General features: G+C 38.5%; 1 protein-coding gene and 1 long non-coding RNA gene across 4 annotated transcripts in view; one reads left to right on the top strand and one right to left on the bottom strand.

Annotated features, from left to right (window-relative positions):
• Positions 1-23619, bottom strand: part of MAMDC2 (MAM domain containing 2) — a 183392-nt gene that overhangs the window by 50337 nt on the left and 109436 nt on the right. Inside the window, exons 10-12 of one of the 3 annotated variants that reach the window (NM_001347990.2) lie at positions 7841-7934; positions 6009-6157; positions 69-879 (exon numbers count right to left, since the gene is read on the bottom strand). In NM_001347990.2, coding sequence (NP_001334919.1) covers positions 826-879; positions 6009-6157; positions 7841-7934 — 297 coding nt within the window. In that variant the 3' untranslated portion in view covers positions 69-825. Of the gene's footprint in view, positions 1-68; positions 880-6004; positions 6158-7840; positions 7935-23619 lie in introns of those variants that run through there. The other 2 variants (NR_125850.1, NM_153267.5) reach the window with 2 other exon arrangements.
• MAMDC2-AS1 (MAMDC2 antisense RNA 1) lies at positions 748-23502 on the top strand. The gene is made up of 4 exons (NR_040076.1): positions 748-881; positions 5512-5598; positions 18894-19124; positions 22395-23502. It is a non-coding gene; the product is annotated as an MAMDC2 antisense RNA 1 (long non-coding RNA).

The raw sequence follows: 23619 nt of genomic DNA, 5'->3' as shown, positions 1-23619 counted from the left end.
TATTGAAGCAAATGAAACAGAGAATAAAGAAGGCAGGCCCTAGAAAAAATTTACTTTAAAAATCAGAATTTTCTGTGTTGTGCACCAGAGAGTTTTATTTAATATGTCAAATATTCACTCAAAATAAATGTTGAACACACTAAGTTTGTGCATTCAAAATTTTCCACAATATATTCATATAATAACATGCACTCTATTTTTGCTATGAAGTATAACCCGAGGCAGCTGAAGCATCTTTCAAAGTTTTTAAGAAGACAAAGCAAACACAACCAAATTATTTTCTTTAGACAAAGCAATACTATGTTAGCTAAAGTGTGTCCACATAACCCAGAAATAATGTAAATACAGGAGTAGAATTAGGAGCAATTTAATATCTACTATATGTGCTTTTGTTAGATTTTCATAGACTGTGTATTTATGAGGAGAAGGTAGGACATGGTCTACTAGTCAAGCAAGCTCAGACTATAACATTATTTTAGCATAATGACATGAGGAGCAGGACAGGGCTTGGTTGTCAGCCATTTAACTTAAGAGTTTACCCTGTTCCTTCAATGTTCAACCCATTGCCCTAAATCCTGGGAGTGGGTTCAATTGTGTCTTCTCCAAAGAGGTATGTTGAAGCCCTAACCCACGTACTAGAATGTGACTGTATTTGGAGATAGAACCTTTTAGGAGGTAATTAAGTCACAATGGGATTGTTAGGGTGGGCTGTAATTCATTATGACTGGTGAACTTACAAGAAGATACATATCGGGGGTGCACTGGCACAGAGGAAAGGCCATGTGAAGCAAGAAGGCAGCCATCTGCAAGCCAAGGAGAGAAATTTCAGAAGGAACCAACCCTACCGACATCTTGATCTTGGACTTTAAGCTGCCAGACCTGTGAGAAAACAAATTTCTAATGTTTAAGCCACCCAGTCTGGGATATTTTGTTATGGAAGCCCTGGCAAACTACAGTAGTTCCCCCTTATCCTTGAGGGATATGTTCTAAGATCCCTGGTGGATGCCTGAAACTGCTGATACTACTGAACCCTATGTATACTATATATTTTTTCCTATACATACATACTTATGATGAAGTTTAATTTATAAATTAGGCCAAGTAAGAGATTAACAAGGAATAATAAAATAAGACAATTATAACAATATGCTAGCATCACTACCCTTACACTTTGCCATTTTTCAGTAGAATAAGGGTTTCTTGAACACAAGCAAGGTTTTATCAGGCTACTCAGAACGTTGCTCTTTCTCTTATACTCATCTAATCCATCATGAAATTCTGTGGCTTGGCTTTCAAAATATATCCAGGATTTGACCACTTATCACCACCCTCATTGCTAATACACAGTTCAATCCATGGTTGCTGGTCAAATGTGCCATCATAGTCAAATCCACTATCATAGTCAAATTTACCATCATTGTTCACCTGGGTTATGTGCAGTAGCCTCTAACAGGGCTCTTTGATTTCACCCTTGCTTCATTTGCACGCCTAGTCTTTCCTCAACACAGTAGCCAGAGCAATCCTTATAAAATTAGATCAGATCGCTTCTCTCCTAAGTTCAACACTCTCTAGTGACTTTCCATTTGAAATAAAGTAAAATCCAAAGTCCTGGCTGGGCACAGTGGCTCATGCCTATAATCCCAGCACTTTGGGAGGCCAAGGTGGATGGATCACCTGAGGTCAGGAGTTCAAGACCAGTCTGACCAACACGGCAAAACCCTGTCTCTACTAAAAAATACAAAAATGAGTGAGCATGGTGGCGGGCACCTGTAATCCCAGCTAGTCGGGAGCCTGAGGCAGGGAGAATTGCTTGAACCCGGGAGGTGGAAGTTGCAGTGAGCTGAGATCACACCACAGCACTCCAGCCTGGGCGACACAGCAAGACTCTATCTCGGAAAAAAAAAAAAAAATCCAAAGCCCTTCTAATTAATTACAAGGTCCTCCATGAGCTGGCCTACCATTATTTCTCTGGGTCATTTCCTAGCACTGTCTCCCTAGCTCACTAGGCTATAGCTAAACCAGCCGCCTTGCTGTTCCTAGGACACACTGAGCATGCTTTCACTTATGGGGCTTTGCAATGGCTGTCCCCTCTACCTGGAACATTGCTTTCCAGATATGCTCTTGGTGAGCTACCTCAACTCTTTTCAAGGCTACCTTCCAATGGGCTTCGTTGTGACTCTTCTATTTACATTAGTTAACTCCACCCACATTCTCCTCTCGATTCCCTAACTCCCTCACCTGCTCCATTTTTATTTCTGTAGCAATTATCGCCTTTTAAAATACTGCATAATTATAATTAAGCTTAATATTTCTTGTCTGTCTCCTCTACTAGAAGTTCCGTGAGGGTAAATGCTTGTCTGTTTTGTTCATCTGTGTTTCATGAGTACCTAAAACAGTACCTGGCACATAGTAGACACTCAATAGCTATTTGCTGAATGAAGGAGTAAATGAATAATAGAGCAATAATTAATTGTCATATGCCAGGTCTTATTCTAAGTATGTTTTATATCTTGTTTCATTTAAACCTCACCACAGTCTGTGAGGTAGGTATTAATTATTCTTAATACAAAGATAAAGAAAATAGGCTTAGAGAGGTTAAAGGTAGAACTAAGATTTGAACCTAGGCAGTCTAATCCCAAAGCCTTTCAGTTTTTAAATTCAACCACCCTGTGAAGTTAGGAAAATAGGTAAGTGGTTATGATTATTCTCATTTTCTAGATGACAGAACTGAGACTTAGAGATTTTAAGTAACTTTCTCAAGGTGAATGGGAACCTTACTTAGTGAATGGGAAACCTTAGGTTGTCCTGATGCCCTAAGTTCCTGGGTTTGTTATAACCTGGCCTGGTGTCTCTCCTTGCCCTTTTCAGGGACTCCTTCCCTTCAGTGCTATTTTTCTATGTCTTCTCTTCCATGTCTAAGGCATTCCACAGTCTTCATTACCCACAGAATTCCCTGTAGTAGTCTACCATAACATAGTTCTCTTTGGTTGTACCTCTTATTAGATCTCTTACTGCTATACCTGACAAAAGGAAGAAAAACTATCAACCTTCTCAAGAAAAATACACATACACATAACATCTAGACTACAATAGACTCTAGCTAAAACTGATTCATTCTTGACTTCAATCCTCTTGCAATAAATAGATACCTTTCCACCATCCGATTTTCTAGGGTCTCAATAATTAATTGGTTAGTTATTATTAAATGTGTCAGTGAAGGTTTATAGATTCATTTATTCATTTGTGCATTCATTCATTCATTCATTCCATAGGCATTTTTGAGCAACTATTGTGTATAAGACAGAATACTAAATTCTGTGGGGAATCAAAAATGACCTTTATAGTACTATGCCCTCAAGACATTTCCAATCAGAGCCAATGAGATTCAGTTTGGGTATTTTTGTCTGAGTTTTCACTTTCCGCTAGATTCAATGTTGAAAGGCCCATGAGACTGCAGTTGCTACAGCCACTGTGTTGCCATGACAGGAGATCCTGTCTAGATTGGAGCCCACCCAGAAAAACCAGCTCAAAGAGGTAGAAAGAGAAAGAGAGAGAGAAACTGGCTCCTGAGGACACAGTTTTAATCCCTGCATCAAGCTGTGCCTGAAGCTAACCCCACAGTAGTCTCTTTCTGTAACAAAGTCCAAAAAAGGATTTTCTTTTCACTTAAGTCAGTTTGAGTTGTATTTTCTGTTATAAGCTTTTAGAATAGTCCTAATACATATAGGCCTTTCTAGTTATATTTTTAACATCCTGATATCTTTCCAGAGATAGCTTCACACATAAGGAACCACCTTAGCATCCTTCACTCAATGCTGAAAGTGAGCATCTGGTCTGCCTTTGGGCCAATGCTAAATCTCTTCAACAGCATCCTTTACCGAAGCAACATTGTCCCAGAATCTGCTGAAGCAGCAAGAAAAGAGGTCAGCAGTAGGACCAAGCTGCATATCTTCTTAGGCAGGAGTGCATCACTATTGAGGCCAAATGGACACTCACTAGCAAGGTGGCTGGAAACAACTGTTCCAGAAAGAACCCAAGGAAAAATTTCCAGGAGGAACCCAAACAGAAAAATCTATGTGGGTTGTATTCTGTAGTGCAAGTACTAAGGGAAGCGGGTGGTCTCAGAGGGTTAGCCAGTGAGAACATTGCCAGAAATGGTAAGATGCAGAGGCTCCTGAAAGAGCCAGCATTTAGACATCTGTCATAACAAAGGACATTCAATAGCTAAGAGATCACTTTAAATAGCACCAAATATTTTTAAAGTTCCTTTCTTTTAATCCATCTTCCACCTTCCCTGATTAAAAAGTCATGAAGATGAGGGGCAGGAGGGGAGGTAAAACAAAGAAAATGAAAAAATAGACTGTTTCTTCCTTTATCCTTCCAAACTATGAGTCAGGCCCAAGCTGAGGGAAAGAGAGAAGATTCAGTTGAATGAGAAATGGAAGTTTTGATTTGAACTGGACTTTTGACATACCTGAATATCTAATTGTTCTAATGTCTCAACAGGACTGGGAAGCTAAGGGATTTGCCAAGGCATGGGGAAAAGAGGATCTTTATGTTTGAAGAATGATAGAAAAAATAAAGCTGTTCATTATTACATTCTACCATGTTTAGCCAATTAAACAGGTTTTACTGGAGGTGGTTCTGTGGTAATTATTCCATAGGCTTATCTTGAGTTAGATCAAGCTTGTCCAAACTGCAGCCCACAGGTTGCATGTGGCCCAGAACAGCTTTGAATATGGCCTAACACAAATTTGTAAACTTTCTTAAAACATTATGAGAATTTTTTTTGCAATTTTTTTTAGCTCATCAGCTGTCATTAGCGTTAGTGTATTTTATGTGTGGCCCAAGACAATTCTTCTTCCAATGTGGCCCAGAGAAGCCAAAAGATTAAATATCCCAAGTTAGACCATAAGAAACAGCACAATGCAAATTACCCTCATATTTACTATCATAATGGTTTCTCTAGGAGAATTCATGAGGAAATATCTCTATGAGCTTAGTATCAGGGGTAGTTCTGCTTCTCTGGACCAAGTGTTGTGCTTTTATTCAGTTAGTATACCAAATGGAATGGGGGTGTGAGTGAGAAAGATCCATTCTATGGAAGGTACTTTTTAATTTATTATTTATTTTTTTCGAGACAGGGCCTTGCTCTGTCACCCAAGCTGGGTGCAATGGCATGAACATGGCTCACTGTAGCCCTGACCTCCTGGGCTCAAGCAATCCTCCTGCCTCAGCCTTCCAAGTAGCTGTGACCACAGGTGCACACCACCACAGCTGGCTAAATTAAAAAAAAAATTGTCAAGATAGAGTCTCACTATGTTGTCTAGGCTGGTCTTGAACTCCTAGACTCAAGTAATCCTCTCACCTTGGCCTCCCAAAGTGCTGGGATTATAGGAGTGAGCCACCACACATGGCCTACGGGACATATTTTGTCCCTGACAATGTTTACAATTGCTGATACATGTTGGTAATATGAAGTAGATGAACTCTTACTCTGTTTTATTGCAGTTTATACATTTTCTACAGAAAATGCACCCCATCATTGCTTATAGCCCACCCACGTGGACTGCTCATTCTGTGAATCATGTTTTACAGGTGCGTTTTGGCTACTGAAAGCTTGGAGTCAAACCTGTATGCCTCTTCCTTTGTCTGCCAATATATTTTGTATATTAGGCCTCGGCCCTGGCTCCAATTTAGATTACCATTTTTTCCCCTACTTTGTCCCTCTCTTTGACCTTTTAACTTACTTCTATTCTTTGTGTGCAGAACTTTGTAAGCCCTGTTAGATCCTTGCTGCAGCAATGTACATAAGCAATGTAATAAACAGAAAGGATGAGATATTCAATGCCCATATCAAATCATCCTGTGTGTGTAGAATCACAAGTGCATTTCATTATAGACACAAGACATAATTTTGCACATTTCAAAATGCAGTAAACGATTCCTAGAATGCTATTTTAGAAGCTTTCCTTAGGAAACAGCACCACGTGGCATAACTCACCTACCCCAGTAGTGTGATCTCCCTTTGGTCCTGTGTAGGAAGTGGGAGTTTCTCCCCTCCTCCTGTGCCAGCTGCTCCGGTTTCTTTTCTCCTGAGTAAATGTACATTCATCTTGCTCGAAAGTACACTCTCCAGGTGGAGGTGGAAGTTTCTCTGCAAGAAAATAGCAGATGTTGCAATCACTGAGACTCTTTCAATGACTCTGTGTTGCTAGCAGCCCACTCTGCATGTATGAATGTTGTCTGGCCATATGCCATGCGATGGAGAGGCAGCCCCCACTGGTGGCCCACCTACACGGAGCCACTGCTTCCAGCTAGAGGCTGCATTCCACTGCGGGTCCTGCCACAGACATAGAGAACAATCAGATATACAGATCTAAAATACTGGGCTACTTTGAGAAAAAAACTTTCTCTGACTTGTGAATTTTTGTGAATTTCTTTTTATAAAGCTCTGGAAATTATAGGTATATTGCCTTTATGAAAATATGGAAAATAATAAAATTTCATAATGCAGGCACTTTCTTCAGAAATCCTGGATGAGTGAAGGGTATCCTCATAACAACTCCACAGTTGCTTTGTAGGTAGGGGAGAATGTGAGAGTGCTAAATGGACTCCTGGAGGCATAGCTGTGTGGAACAAATGACTTCACTTCTCTGTGCCTTAGAGTTCTTATCTCTAATGTGGGAATATTGATGGTAGTCACTTCATGGGTCTGTGAGGATTAAATGAGATGGTATATGTAAAGTGATCATTTTTAATGTGAAGTTCTCAATAATTAAATTTTAGAACTTATTTTGCCACCCAGAGGTTTATTTTCCTTTTCCCAAATCCAATGTTTATGTCTTTGAATGCTATCTTCAATAACATTCATAATTATTAGAATGGTGCTTCTTCCCAATTTATTGGGGACTTTTCCTTTGACTAAACTTGGTTGTACCTCCCTATATCCAGATTCTTAGCCAAATTTTTCTAATAAATAGCTTGTTTCATATGTCTCTTTTGTGATCACTGTTTTACTTCATTTTATTTTACACACAGTACTGGTTAATGAAACCTCATTCTTTCTTCTATGCCTTGAGTGGAACGATTTTTATCTGGGTTGTCCTTGCAGTGCCTGGCAAATTAAGAGACTAAGAACAAATTGTCTTTTAATTAAATAAACATGGAGATTATTCTCCAGCACCAGACTGATACCACGATTTGCCTGTGTGTCAAAGAAATGGATGTCCTATGATGTAGGATGCAATGGTAATTAGCAGATACAGATCAATGATTGGGATTGAGTTATGCACCATTTTCTCATTAGGCGTAATGTATGACACATAGCTAGCTACCATGACTTTATTTTGCTACTATCATCATTGCTTGGTCTATTGTTCCACTGTCATTTAATTCACTTAGAAAATGTTTATTAAAATTTTTAAATTACATGCTTAGCAAGTATCTGTGAAATAAAAATTTCATTAATATTGCTTGAAAATCTGCATTCATGTAAGATAACAAAAACAACAGTAATAGTAATAATTATAGTAGAAGATATTTGTTTTTAAAGCACTGTTTTGTGGAAAATGTATGTATTATCCCCAATATTCAGGTAGATACCACTAGTTGCCTTCCAAATGAGGATAAAGGGGTTAAGTCACATGTACAAAGACACATATTACACTGGAATCATCATTTCTAAATTTCAAAGCCTGCTACACAGCTCTGCAGGAGACACTTTGTCAACAAAAGCAAAGGATGGACTAGCACAGATGAAATGTATGTGATTCTCAGCGATACAGGAAATGTATGTATAGGTCAGAGAGACAGAGAGCTAAAATGATTGCCGTCTTACCTGAAGATGAGCAGCTTCCCAATTGTATTGTAATGTCATCCAGGGCTACAAGCCCACAGTCCCAGAAACTTTTGCATAGGCTCATGAAAACCACCTGAAATTCATAAAAATAAAGCTATGAATTCTGTTAACTGAAAACTGGAAACTCCTAACAACCTGGGATTCACTTAGCACAGCAGGCGAGCATAGGCAAACTACAAGCAGCTCTTCAGCGTCCGTATGAACAACAGAACACAGTAGGAAGAAGAATGGTTACCATCTGCATAAAACCCTGGAATTACTTTTATTATTATTGTTAATTTTTGAGATGGAGTCTCGCTCTGTCGCCAAGGCTGGAGTGTAGTGGTACGATCTTGGCTCACTGCAACCTCTGCCTACTGGGTTCAAGTGATTCTCCTGCCTCAGCCTCCTGAGTAGCTGGGATTACGGACACCCGTCACCATGCCCAGATAATTTTTGTATTTTTAGTAGAGACGGGGTTTCACCATGTTGGCCAGGCTGGTCTCAAACTCCTGACCTCAGGTGATCTGCCTGCCTTGGCCTCCCAAAGTGCTGGGATTACAGTTGTGAGCCACCACACCTGGCCTAGAATTACTTAATATATTTGAGCAGAATATAACGATATATTGTGCATACTAATGCTGAAATTAGTGGCATTTCGTAAAGAATTGACAGGAAGAGTGAGGAAAGCAAGAAGTTAACTGCGTGACAGAGAAATGCCTGTCAGGTTTTAAACATTTTCCCCAGATAATCCACAAAGTACATATAGACTTGATGGTTTTCTGAGCATTTTTCAAACATTTCCAGTACAAACACTATTGATTTTTTGGAAATGACTTTCTGGCAACATGCTTCATTCACATTGTGAACAAAGTCCTGGTGATTTGCCATCTGGAGGCTTATGTTCCATTTCCAAAGACAAAGATCTGTGTTCCCAGTTGGTGTCACTAATAAAAGCCCTAAATGCAGTTATTTTATCAGTCCAAACATTTTTATTGTTGTCTGTGAAGGAAAAACAAATCCATACCATAAATTATTAAATCTACTGTTCCAGAGAAAGACAGAAAAGTCTTGGATTTCTTTCCATCAGGCAAATTTTAAAGGCTACTTTTCATATATAGGATGAGCTAAGAGACCTTTTAAAAACATTTGTATTAGATTTTCACTGTACTTGCAGATTACAAAGCTGCTTTGAATGTATCACAATGTTTACGTAGCACAAGCTCATTTAGTCCATGTTCATTGAATCCCTCAATTACAAATCTAATTCAAACAGACAAAGGATGATATAACAGAAGTTGAAACCCAACTTACAAATAATGAGAACACTTGATTTTTTTAGGCTCTAGTTTAAAATGTTATGTTTTAAATTTATTGTTTTATCAGTAGGGTTCTTTTGCTTTTTGATGATCAGAGTCATTAGAATATAGAATTTATTTAAAAAGAAATGTAAAGATCATGTGACAGCTTACCAGTATGCAAAATATAAAATGTCTTAATCCAAGACCTTCTGGATAATTACTAATTGTAAGATGTGTGAAGGTTTACTTGCACTGTATTCATATTGCTTTCAATTATAAAAAGGATAGTTTGGACTTGTCACAATGTATAACTCTGTATATATACAAAGAACAAAACAAAACAGGGTGGATTTTTTTTTCTCGTTTACTTCTGTTAATTTTCTCATGTTTATAGATTCTAGAGATGATCTGAACATGTAAAATATTTTACTTGCAGAGTTTACTACTGGGAACTTATTCCCTGTTTGTAAAGCAAAGGTCTGTGTCATCAGCCCTGAATGCGGTTATATTTTAGCAGTAACTTTTTTTGTTATATGGGAAGGAATATTAATCCATCTCATAATTTACTGAATTAATTGTGGTGCAGACAGAAGAGTCTTGGCTTTATTTTATGGGGTGTGGGGGGTAGCTTTAAAGTCTATTTTTCACAAGTATACTAAAAAAGTACCTTTTCAAAATGAATATGTGGTAGTGAAATGGTTCACCATCTAAATCATTACCTACATAAAACTCAAACATTTGGCATGGTAATAAATTCCAAAGAAGAGAAATATTAACATGCTTTCATATGTTTACTATAGCATTGTTTTATAGTGACCATAAAACCATACAAGCAAGTAAGCAAGCAAACACCCAGAATTTTAAAAATAGAAGAAATAAATGAACTACGGCACAATTATCTAGGAAACTGGCCATTGTCAGATTTGATAACTTGGGCATATTATTTCATAGTACAGAAATATATTCCTCTCATAATGTTAAGTGAAAAAACTAAATAAAATAAGACAAAATAATATCTAGTTCATCTAAAAATAATAGAAAAAGACTGGAAAGTTTACCAAATTTACAACAATTATGTTAGACTCATAAAATTATGGGCATTAAACAGAATTTCCCCCTTCTTTCTATATTTATATGTGTGTGTGTGTATATATATGTGTGTATATATATGTGTATGTATATATATATATGTGTGTGTGTGTGTGTGTGTGTGTGTGTATATATATATATATTTCTGTTTTGTTTTTTTTTTGAGATGGGAGTTTTGCTCTTGTCGCCCAGGCTAGAGTGCAATGATGCGATCTCAGCTCACTGCATTCTCCACCTCCTGGATTCAAGCAATTCTCCTGCCTCAGCCTCCCGAGTAACTGGGATTACAGGCATGTGCCACCACGCCTGGCTAATTTTTGTATTTTTAGCAGAGATGCAGTTTCGCCATGTTGGCCAGGCTGGTCTCGAACACCTGACCTCAGGTGATATCCACCCGCTTGGCCTCCCAAAGTGTTAGGATTACAGGCATGAGCCACCTCACCCAGCCTTTATATTTATATTTGACACAAGAAAAAGGAATCAGGATATTTACAATTAAGATGTGGAATAATCAGTCATTATTATTTCCTAGATGATCTTGTCTATTATGATAGCCACTAGGTACATGTGTCTATTAAAATTAAATTAAAAATTCATGTATTCAGTCACACGAGCCACATTCGAAGATGCTCAGTGGCCACATGCAGCTCATGGTTAACTGAATTGGACACAGCAGGTATGCAGCATTTCCTCATTACAGAAAGTTCTATTGGATAGACTTCCCTGGCTCCTTTTGGATATTCCAAATACTTCGTGAATTGCCACAGTGGGTTGAATGAAATGTTAAGCATGTTTTGGACAATAGCAGACGTCTAGGTTGTTCTACCTTAGCACTTTTTCCACACTTAAAACATTCGCCAGACCATGTGTTGTTCTGTCTGATAAAAGATCCCTAAGGTTAGTCAGCTACTGACTAGGTTCAAATGACGGCCTTAATCCCCAAATTTGCTTGGCAGTTGTCTGTCAGTATTTTAACACACAAAAGAAGCACAACCAGATCAGCTTGTTTGATCTAACACACTGGATTTTCTGCCTGGCTATTAGTAATGCTGATCATGTCAGCGCTTATTTTGGGGCTGCCATTTTACATTTTGTATGCTCCTTGAGGTGGAGAGGTTATTTTAGGGTAGTTGGTGACTGGGCAAGCGGATGAGTGGGCCTGGTTGAGGCAGGACAAAGAATAAGTCAAACATCTTGTCCTGTTCTTAAGGACTTACCCTCTGGGTCCAGTTAAGAACATAACAAGAAGGGAATTAGTCATAGTCTAAATTCTTGAGGGGATTAACCTCTTATTTATAGATCTTTCTTAAAAGCAGTGTTTATTTCATTGTAGGCAGTATTTCGAAGCAAGTGGAACATCTCTAAGACTAGAAAAAATCTTAGCTTAAATGTATATTAGTATCTAAGAGGGTACCATACCCTCTTAAATATTAAATATTATATTAAATATTAAATTAAATATTAATTATATTAATTATAGGCTCACATCTATAATCCCAGCACTTTGGGAGGCTGAGACAGTAGGATCACTTGAGGCCAGGAGTTGAAGATCAACCTGGGCAGCATAGAGAGGTTCCATCTCTACAAAAGAATTTTAAAAATTAGCTGTGTGCGCTTGTAGTCCAGGTACTTGAAAGGCTGAGGCGGGAAGCTCTCTTGAACCCAGGAGTTGGAGCCTGCAGTGAGCCATGATCACGCCACTGTACTCCAGCCTAGATGACAGAGTGAGACCCTGTCTCTCAAAAACAATTAATTAAAAAAAAGAAGGGGAAAGAAGATGAGGGGCCAAGTAAAGTGATATCCCTTAGAAAGGTATTCCTGATTTTATGCAAATCTCTTAAAAGTTAGAGACAAATTAAATTTATGTAAATCAATGTCTCCATGTACTCAAGATCCCAGTCCTTAGGTTCTGATAATACTTTAAAATGTTTGTCCTGATGGAGAATATTCATAGCCGAGGAAATCTGCCTAGACTGGAAACACAAACAGGCAATGAAAGGAGAGCTGTAAAAACATATTTGCAAAGAAATAATTTTAAATACAGTCAAGGAGGGATCAACAATATTACTTAACTTACTCTCTACTATACTAAAAATACATAGTATACATGCTTTTTAAAATCCACAACAGAGTATTGCTACCTCAGCACTACTGACGTTTTGGGCCAGATAATTCTTTGTTATGGAGGACTGCCCTGTGCATTGTAGGATGTTTAGCAGCAACTGTAACCTCTACTCATTAGATGCCAGCATCACTGCCAAGTCGTGACAATCAAAAACTTCTTCAGACATTGCCAAATGTCCACTGGGGGAAAATCTCCCTGAGAACCACTGGTAAAGAGTAGTAGAAAACTGCTGTGTGGATTATAAAACCTCACTTAACTAAATTCCTGTTATGTGCAGTCCTTGTGCTAGGCACTTTCGGAGTTGGATTTTTTTTTTTTTTTTTTTTTTGAGACAGAGTCTCACTCTGTGCCCAGGCTGGAGTACAGTGGTGTGATCTTGGCTCACTGCAACCTCAGCCTCCTGGGCTCAAGTGATCCCCCTGCTTCAGCCTCCCAAATAGTTGGAACTACAGGCGTGCACCACCACACCCGGCTAATTTTTGTATTTTTTGTAGAGACAGGGTTTCACCTTGTTGCCCAGGCTGGTCTCGAACTCCTGGACTCAAGTGATCTGCCTGCCTCAGCCTCCCAGAGTGCTGAGATTACAGGATAAGTCACTGTGACCAGATCTGTTACCTGATTTTTGGATTCACAGTCGATTTCAACCTATTTATTCTCTCCACTCAGAACAAGACTGTTCTAAAAATGGACTAGATTTAGTTTTCTCTTCCTCTACACATCACCAGGTGATTGTTCTAACAAGCGATGAAATATGGGCCAGGCACAGTGGCTCACGCCTATAATCCCAGCACTTTGGGAGGCCAAGGCAGGCGCATCACTTGAGTCAGGAGTTCAAAACCAGCCTGGCCAACATTGCGAAACCTTGTCTCTACATAAATACAAAAATTAGCTGGGCATGGTGGCTCACGCCTGTAGTCCCAGCTAATCAGGAGGCTGAGGCAGGAGAGTCACTTGAACCCAGGAGGCAAAGGTTGCAGTGAGGCAAGATGGTGCCACTTCACTCCAGCCTTCGTGACAGAGCAAGACTCTGTCTAAAAAAAAAAAAAAAAAAGAAAGAAAGAAATATCCTGAAGCCCTGGAAACAAAAGGTAAAGGAGCAGAAATGCAAGGCAGATGGACTAATACCCAAACTGAATAATCATCCCCTGGATTATCAAGGATTTATTGTTCCAATTTCCTGCTTTAGAAAACTGTAATTATTAAAGGACAATAGAATCTCCTCTTTATTTTCATCTTTCTCCCTTTCAAAAAAACAATGATCTGCTCTCTAGAAACAACATAATGACAGGCAGCAGAACCTAAAAGGTCACTGAGCAAATGCTCCTCATAGTATATAATTTTAAGTCTCTTCTAAAGTTTTTTTTTTTTTTTGAGGGGGGTGGTTGATTAGGAGGAGGTCTGTGTGGAAACCCACCTACAAGGTTGTGTTAGTCCAAGGGGTCAGACTGCCCCTAGGCCTGTCAAAGTTCATAAAAGTTCCTGGTTAAAGTACCCACGAGTCCAGGTGCCATGGCTCATGCCTGTTCCCAACACTTTGGGAGGCCAAGGCAGGCAGATTGCAGCCAGTTCGAGACCAGCCTGAGCAACATGGCAAAACCCCCTCTCTACTAAAAGTATAAAAAATTAGCTGGGCACGGTGGTGTACACCTGTAGTTCCAGTTACTCAGGAGGTTGAGGTGGAAGGATCACCTCGGCCCGGGAGGTTGAGGCTGCAGTGAACTGTGATCACATCACTGCACTCCAGCCTGGGTGACAGAGTGAGATCCTGTCTTAAAAAAACAAAACAAAACAAAAGTACCCAGGAAAGAAAAAGTAGAGAATCAGGTATGTCAGGAATTCATGTTCTCAAACCAAATCAAGATAGGTTTTAAAATAATCAGGGTTATTGCTTTTCACTTTATAGGATGTTATAGTTTAACAACTACCAAATATAATGAATAGAATTTTGCCAGGAAATGGAGGAAATAAATTTTGTTGGGTGCTGTGAAGTCAAATCAAATCAAATCTTTGTTATATAGTTCAAAAGGACTGTTTGTGTTAAAGAACTAAACACTGGCTGTATTAAATATTTTTTCACTGCCTTTTAGAGTAGATTCCATGACCTGCTTGATAGACATGGTAGACTAGGTTGTTGGGTTAATCCACCATCTACTTTACCAATTGAATGGCCCCATTTAGGCCTATAATTAGCATGTAAATGATAGCTTCCAGAAATTGCCTTCTATATTTGGATAGAAACATTTCAGTCCTGTGCCAACAATATCATAACTTACCCATTTTCACAAAATGAACCTAGTTAAGTTCTTATTATAAGTGGTAGACCTCAACAATTTCCCAGACGGTTTGATTTTGAGTTAAATTTAACTTTTCTTCTGATGAGGTTAAAATCTTTTGAAATCATTTGCACAGATAAATTTGGTTACGACAACTACAGAGTTGGTGGCATAATTATTCACAAAATTACTATAATCCAGTCAGTGAAATTCCAGAGCCCTTCATTAAGATGCTACTGACACATCTGTAAGATATACTATACGATGTAATTGCATTCATTTAACTGTTTGACAATAAGTTGTAATAGAGTTTTTAAAAAATTTCAATATTGAGATACTTGGCAAAATGGATGAAATTATTACAAATCCCTGAAGGCAGACTAAGTGAAGCTTTATCTAGAAAAGTAAGTGTGAGGCTTTAGCATTCTTAGAACCTAGCACTGTTTTGAGAAATAGCTGCAAAATTGCAAAAGCATGCCTGCTGCAGATACTATATTTGGTCTTCATCTCCCACAAAAGGCAGAATGACCATGTGTTTTTAAATAAGTTTTTAGCTGACCAATACTTTTTTTCTTAAAGGACCCATCTGGTTAGTTTTTTCTTTTTTAAAAGACCCATCTGATTTAATTCAACTTTTGGCTCTTACAAGCGACAGAGATCAAGCAGCTTCCAGCTTTTCTCAGTGTGAAAGTCTTTCTGCTCCCAGGAGCCTTCAGGTCTGGGCTAGGGACCACACTGTGATAGAATACAGGCCTGTAGCTGAACTTTTTCATTGCTATTTGGATGGTAAACATCCAAACCTCTCAACTCAAAGATTTCAGAAATCTGCTTTATTTTCTGATCTTTAGGCCACTGTAAGGGGAGGGGAGGTTCCAGAAGGGACCACAGAATCAGCTATTTTTTAGAATGAAGAACAGGTCCAGAGAGCCTGTGATAGCAGCTCACACAACAGCCAGTTGCAGACTCGGGTATGAAACATTACACCCCTTCCTGATCCCTGATAGAATGTATTTCATTATACAGCCCCCTCATTTTCCCTATTTTGCTTTAGGTATCTTAAAATACGATTCTGAGAGACATGATGCAACTCCCCAGTTAATAGCATGGGACCAAACATTTCTTTGACTTGTGTTTACAACAAGCTTCCTGTCATTTTGCCTTACGTTTGTTGATGGAGTATTTTGGTAACTCAGCACAGGAGCCTGACTCTTACATAGATTGTGGCTGATTTTCAGAACTGGCTAATGTCGAACCAGCCATAGTATCTCCTCCTTTCCACAGCAGCTCTTCCCTCACCTCAGCCACGTCCTTCTCACCCTTAGCCGAAGACATCACTGCCCTGCTCTGCGCTGAAAATGTAGGCCCCCCAGAAAGAATGCTCACAGCTTCTCCGACATCCACATCTACACCCTTATCTTCACTTGCACCCATTTTCACTTTTCCCCCTTGTTTTGAGAGCAAAGTGTGTCTGATTGCAAAGTTCATGTTCTTTTCATGGTGGGACAGAGAAGACTAATCCTACACAATTAATGTTGAAGATGCAAGTGGAAAATAAATGAGAAAAACCTCTGAAAAAAATGAACATTAGACAAAGCTAAGATGACATCATTTTTAATGTTTTAGTCTCTAATTCCCCACCCTAATAATGAAGACATTATTATATTTAATTACCCCATAAAGCTTTCATTATCACTGAAGGAAAATAGGTGCAAATGCCTTCCTGATTTTTACATGTACTCCTCAAGAGGGCAGGTGACCATCTGGTGACTTCTGTTTTTTGTTCTTTTTTTTTTCTGGAGACAGGGTCTCCCTCTGTTGCCCAGGCTAGAGTGCAGTAGCGCAATCACGGCTCACTGCAACCTCTCCCTCCTGGATTCGAGGGATTCTCGTGTCTCAGCCTCCTGAGTAGCTGGGATTACAAGCATGCGCCACCATGCCTTGCGAATTTTTTTACTTTTAGTAGAGACAGGGTCTTACCATGTTGGCCAGGCTGGTCTTGATCTCCTGGCCTCAAGTGATCTGTCTGCCTCACCCTCCCAAAGTGCTGGGATTACAGGTGTGAGTCACCGTGCCCAGCCAGTCTGGTGATTTCTAATAGGCCTCCGGGCTGCCTGTGATTTTGTGTAAAAAAAATCAGTGCTGGGCTAAAAATACAATGTGGTTTCTCTCTGGCCCACCTCCCATAGGGAGTTCTCCTGGTCAAACACTGCCCTGACAAATGTAATGTAATAAAATGTAAAGACCAATTTAATTGTCATGTCCAAGGACAGGCATTATAATTGGAGTCATTGTTGTGGCTCACTTGGAGTTACAAAAACGTCAGTCCTGCCAGAAGATAGATTTATAGAATGCAATCCACAAACAGCAAAAAGGAAGAATCTAGGTCCTCCTCTTGCCTCTCAAGGGCTCACTCTGCTCTAGATGAACCCCTCCTGGGCCTGAAGAAGACAGCAAGCACTTTTAGCAATCCTTTGCTAATAAGAATGCTGACTTTGCCCTACCCACCTCTGAGACATAGAGGCAATTAGCCTGATTTTCATTGATTCCCAAGCCAAAGTGTAGATCCATGAAGTGAAGAAGAGCTGCAGTTTAAAGCTTACATAACTCTTACCCCTTTTTAACCTATGCCACACTTATTTAACCAACTCCTAATAACAGACAATATGGTAGTTTCCACTCTCTCAGTATTATAAATATTACTGGAATGAACGATTATAGCTAAATCTTTGTGCATAACCATGATTATTTCCTTATGATAAATCCCTAGATGTAGAATTGTTATGTAATAAAGTATGCATGTTTGAGCGCTTCCTTTTTTATTCATGTAATTAAATTGTTATTAAAACATTGTGCCAATTTACCCTCATATAAGAGCACATGATAATCCTTATTTCCTTGCATCCTCACCTTTCCAGGGTAATGTTATACGTGTGTGTGTGTGTGTGTGTGTGTGTGTGTGTATTATGCATGCACACATATATGTTTATATATATACATATACAGTCATACACTGCATAATGACATTCCAGTCAATGATGGACTGCATGTACAATGGTAGTTCCATAAGATTATACTACCATATTTTTACTGTACTTCTGTCTCTTTAGATATGTTTAGATACAAAAATACTTACCATTGTGTTGTAACTGTTGCCATTATTTAATACAATAACATGCTGTATAGGTTTAAAGCCCAGGATCTGTAGGCTATACCATACAGTCTAGGTGTGTAGTAGGCTATACCATCTAGGTTTGTATAAATATTCTATGATATCCTCACAAGGACAAAATTGCCTAACAAACACATTTCTTGGAATGTATCCTTATCATTAAGTGATACATGACTGTATATACATATATAAGTACATTTGAATGTATTTATTCAATTATCAATTAAAAATTTTTTCACTTTAGAAAACATTAATATGTATACATATGTATAGTACATATATTGAAAAATAAATCTTTCACTTAGACCAGAAAACATTTATATGTATATATGTACATATTATATATATTTAAAAATAAATATTTCACTTTAGACCCAAATATGCATATATGTATATATATAAATGGGTATATATATTTATACTTGCATCTAAAGTGAAAGATTTATGTTTTAATTCATAAATTGAACAATACAAACAGTGTACAGTATAAATACAGCAATTAATACAAACATCATACTCCAGGGTATTATGTTTTTAAAATATTTTGATAGACAAATGTATTATTTCATTACTTTTAAGATTTCTTTGGCTGGGTGTGTTGGCTAACACTTGTAAAGCACTTTGGGAGGTCATACATGGGTGGATCGCTTGAGCCCAGGGGTTTGAGACAAGCTGGGTAATAGTGAGACCACATTTCTACAAAAAATGCAAAAATTAGCTGTACATGATGGTGCACACCTGTACTTCCAGCTACTTGGGAGGCTGAGGTGGGAGGATCACCTGACCTTGCAGAGGTCAAGGTTACAGTGAGCTATGATCACACCACTGGACTCCAGCCTGGGTGACAGAGTAAGACCCTGTCTAAAAACATAATGTCTTTGATTATAATGAGGTTGGGTATATTTGTGCATTTATTTTCTGGTTATATTTCTTTTTTTCTGATTTGCCTGTATATATCCTATCCGCTTTCCTATTGCTTAGTTTACCTTTGGCTTATTGATTTATTAGATTTATATATTTATTTTAAATGTATTAAGACTTTGTTGCATATGTTGCAACCTTTTTTTCCCCCTCTGACTTGACATTTGCCTTTCAGATTTGTTTATGTGGCATTCCTCGTTTGAATAAAGCAGAACCAAATGTCTTGGTTTGAAGATTGAGATGAAATGGGAGGGCCACAAATAGTAATTTATCTTTGAGCATCGTATAGATAAACATGTAACCTGATACTAAACAAAAGTAAATGCTCATGGACTGTCAGTGATGTGGTGGGATATGCCAGAGGGAAGTGATTTGTGGACTCACTGGAGAGAGACTTCTACTAGAAGTAAGTACTAAACAGATAGTGCAGAAAATATCCAGAGAAAGACATATAAGAGGAGGAGGGAAAGGTAGGCATATCTATGCAAAAGGAAATAAGGTATGTTTCCTCTGGTGAAATTAGAGAGTCTTTATTAATGTGTGAATTGTCAATTTCTAATTGCATGAGTTGAGCTTATAGCTCTAGAGGCCAGCAAATACTTATTTGGTCTATGAGCTCAGAAAACCAGAGGATCCCCAGAGAATCTCAATGCGAGCATCAAAAAATAATGTGGCATCACCTAGAATTTGGGAAAATATTTCTTTAAAATGCAATGACTGTACGGCTGTGAAATATTCACAAGATAGAAGTTTGGAAGTGGGGAAGGGAAGTGGTATTTTCAGGTTCATAAACAAACTTTGGAATAAATGTTTGCCTAATTAAGCTTATTAGTAAAACTATAGGGAAAGAATGCCTGGTCTGTCTTTTCGGATGTCTCCATATTGCTGGGAGAACAAATTGCTGATCCAACAATGTTCCATGAAATTACTCAGAAAACTCACGAAAGAATGGACTGACATAAACACTATGTTCGTGTAAAGTATGTGTCAGCAACTACCAGTTGTGCTAATCTATCTTCCCAGTAATTTTCTCATAAGTTGGCATGAAACACAGAAGGTCTCAACAAATAACTGAAAGGAAATGAAACAGAAGGAAAACAAGAGTATCTCAGCCTGCCTTACTCATATTTAAAGCAATGTAGAATTCATGAACTCACAAATGATGCTGAGTTTAGCTTGAAAAACTCAAGAGTAGGTTCCTTTTCCATACTTAGCTCCTTATTCTTTGACATGAAAACTTATTCCACTTGACAGTATAATTTTCCTTGTTCTGTGTACAAAGCCACCTTAATCTGCTCTATAATGTGTTGATTATCTTGTCAGTAATTAATGACCTTTCTATTTCTACTTTGCTCTCAGCTGCTCTGCTTTAATAATGCTGGGACATTAATATCCTGAAGCAGTTCTCTTCCAGTGTTCCCAGACATCATGAAATGTGATAGGAAATTCACCTCCTCTCATGTGTCTTGTCTACACATTGGTTTTCTGCTTCCTTAATCTCTTTATAGCAGGGTGTCTGGCTGTTAAATAGCCAACTATTTATAAATCTCTACAGAAACTTTCTAGACTTGCTCTTCTATTCGAGTGAACTTCTAGAGCTGCCTTTAAAATTTCAGAACCCTAGGTATTTTACATGTAATCATATTGTCATTCTGTAAGGGCATAGTTAAAAAGATTTTAAAAGTGGAAATTTGAATCAAAGACTTAAATTTCAACTTTTTTTTTCCTAAAAGGGAAAGATTTTTGTAAGAGAAAATGAAGGAGTAGAGAAAATTACCAACAAGAACCATGTTGCACAATGTTAAAACACAGTTTCTGCTATTAAGATGCCAAAAATATAACAGGAGGTAGAAGAGACCTAGAAGTCATTTTAAAACATGTCCTTGTTTCACAGAAAGGTGACATGACATTCTGATTTACATAGTAAATGCTAGAGTCAGGGCAACTCTTTATATTCCTGAACTAGAGCTCCTTCATTACACAAATACCATTCCAACAAGTAAAACCCAAGTCAATGACTTATAAAAGATTCAAAGAGGAAGAGGCATTTGAGGTAGACATTGAGAGAAGCATAGGACTTTCCTGGGTATGTATAATGATTTCTGCAACAAGATCAATGAGATATACTTTGCTGTTGATAAACGCTGAGGGAGCATTGGAGGAGGAAGGCAGAGGGCAGAAGACAAGGATTTGAGGAATGAGAAGCCACACTGGAGTGAAGACAATAATTGAAGATACATCTTTCCAGAAGTTTGGAGGCTGAAGGAATGGGAGGGATTGGCAACTTAAATGGGTACTGAGATGAAAGGAAGGTTTATTGTTCATCGGTGTCGAATGCAGGAGACTAACATATATTGGCAGTATGCAAAGGACTAATGGAGATTGAAGATTTACGAGAGAGGGAATAATTTATGAAATAAGTTCCCAGAGGAGGCAAGAAGGTGAGATCAAATGCCTAGATGGGCAGGTTGGTTTTGACGAAGAGCAAGGATAATACTTTCTTTGTCAGATTGATCAGGAGATGAAGAGAGGCAGGTGAAGATTCAGAGAGGAACAGAACTGAAGGAGCTTGTGTTGGATGCCTTTATCCTTTGGGAGATGAACCCATGAGATCACATCCTAAGAATGAGGCAGGGAGGGTCAAGTTGGAAATTTGCGAGTGAAAATAGACCTGAATATCTGGGATGGGGGACGAGGAAAAGTCAACAAGAGATGAGATGCATAAAAGGCTTTCCCAGCAGAATGGAGGGGACAGTGGAGATTAGTCTTATTTTCTCCAGCTGTGCTGAGAAGACTGGGGTAAAGATGAAAGCTACCCTGGGTTTCCAGGCATTAGGAGGACCAAGGTGGAGAAGCCAGGAAGACCTGCAGGTGGGGAGGGTATGACGTGGAAGCAACCACATCACTGACCATGATCGCAGAATGGAGGCTGGATAAGCTGTGTTGTGGGGCAGGGAAAGGATTGGGATTTGCATGGGGGCTGGTAAAACTTGATTTAGGTTCTTGGGAATAGGAAAAGGCACAGTTTAAGAATGGGAAGCTGTTTCAAAGGGAAGAATCACAGTTCTTGGTTTTAGTAAATACCATCATAAAAAGTTCCAAAACAAGCCAAGCACGGTGGCTCACGCCTGTAATCCCAGCACTTTGGGAGGCTGAGGTGGGAGGAGAGCTTGAGGCCAGGAGTTCAGACCAGCCCGAGCTACTTAGTGAGACCCTGTCTCTGCAAAAAATGAAAAATAAATTAGCTGGCTCTGCACCCCAGCTACTTGGGAAGCTGAGGTGGGAGGACTGCTTGAGCCCAGGAGGTGGAGACTGCAGTGAACCATGATCGTGCCACTGCATTCCAACCTGGGCAACAGAGACCCTGTCTCAAAAAAAAAAAAAAAAAAATTGTTCCAAATCGGACTCAGCATACCATAAATGTCTTAATATTCACTCTAGCCAGGTATTCCTGGTTTTAAGTATTCACACTAAAATTCCTTGTAGGACAAATTGCTCAGGTGCTATGCTATAAGGGATTATAGTTTATCTTAGCCAAAGGCAGAAACATTTAATCTTCCTTTTTCCTTTGATGGAATTATGTTCTTCCTTACCATCAACACCTATTCATTGATAGTATAGTTTTCTGTCTTAACTATTTAGTGGGTTACTAACAGGAGAACCCACTCTGTTCCAGAAATTGCCTTGATGTTAGGAATTAAAAAAACAAAACAAAACAAAAAACATGGAGCCGTATTCTCCAGAAGCTTACATCTGATTTAACGAGACAGGTAAGTACAATTTCAACATAATGCATTAAGTGCTATGAGAGTAGTATGATGGTGATAGGTGCTATACAAGACAAGGGTTCTAGGTTAATTGCTTTGAGAAAATTGCCACCCTTTAACAAGGTTAAACTGGATTCTTTAACGTCAACCTTACTGAGAGTTTCTAATATGTCACTGTGCTTTGTGAATCTTCATGTGTGTGGAGTAGAGATCCAGTCTGCCAAGTTCTGCAAACTCATCTGACAACAGAACTCTTTTTCAATGGAATATCTCAAGGCATTTGTGCTCCACGAGACATAAGATGAGAAGGGCTGACACAAGATTCTCACCTAGTGAAAAAAAAATATGTATTTATATTTTTAAAAACTGGTTGGATGGGGGCTTTCTCCCAAATACATAAATGACTTTGAAGTTTTTTTTTTCAGTCCTATGACAGAGTAAAGATGCAGACTTAAAAGGATTTACCATGAAGATTTTAATGACTGCTGGGCTGATTATTAAGCCTGATCCCAGTGAAATGGAATGCCTTTAGTCATTTTCATTTATGGACTGTTTAACGATTTTTCTCCAAAAGAAATATTTAATGAACACAATATCGAGTTCCTCCCAGTGCTTCTAATTAACAGACCACTGAACGATCTTTGTTAAAGGAAAGGCTAGCTTCAGGCCAGAAGGCGTTGCAGGATCTAATATGTATGCTACCATGGGTGACCAAGCATAAAGATAAACTAAGGATTTGAATATATAAGGGCTAATGTTTGTGTCCATTGTTATGGAATTTCTGACAATCACTCTCTAGTCTTTCCTAATATTTGGCCTTTAGGAAAAGTGTTTTGGACTGAATTGTTCTCTCTCCTCATTATCCTCCTTAATGTGTGAAAGTCTCAATGTAACTGTTGATTACCTGCTCTCTATTTCATAAAGAGGAAAAACAGATCCAGAGGACCATTTCATGATTCATCCTTTTTCAAAACGTTTCTTAAAACATTAAATAAAGTTTTATTATTGTAAACTGTTTATAATTGTATAAAAGCAGCCATTTCTTTAAGAAAGTATCATCTTATTAAAATAAAGGTTTAATTCTGACCTGATTTTTAGTTTAAAGAACTTCAGAGCAAAAATCAGGTGTAGAAT

This window comes from Homo sapiens, chromosome 9 (genome assembly GCF_000001405.40).
Source record: "Homo sapiens chromosome 9, GRCh38.p14 Primary Assembly".
Classification (NCBI taxonomy): domain Eukaryota; kingdom Metazoa; phylum Chordata; class Mammalia; order Primates; family Hominidae; genus Homo; species Homo sapiens.
This window is presented reverse-complemented; position numbering and strand designations above follow the sequence as displayed.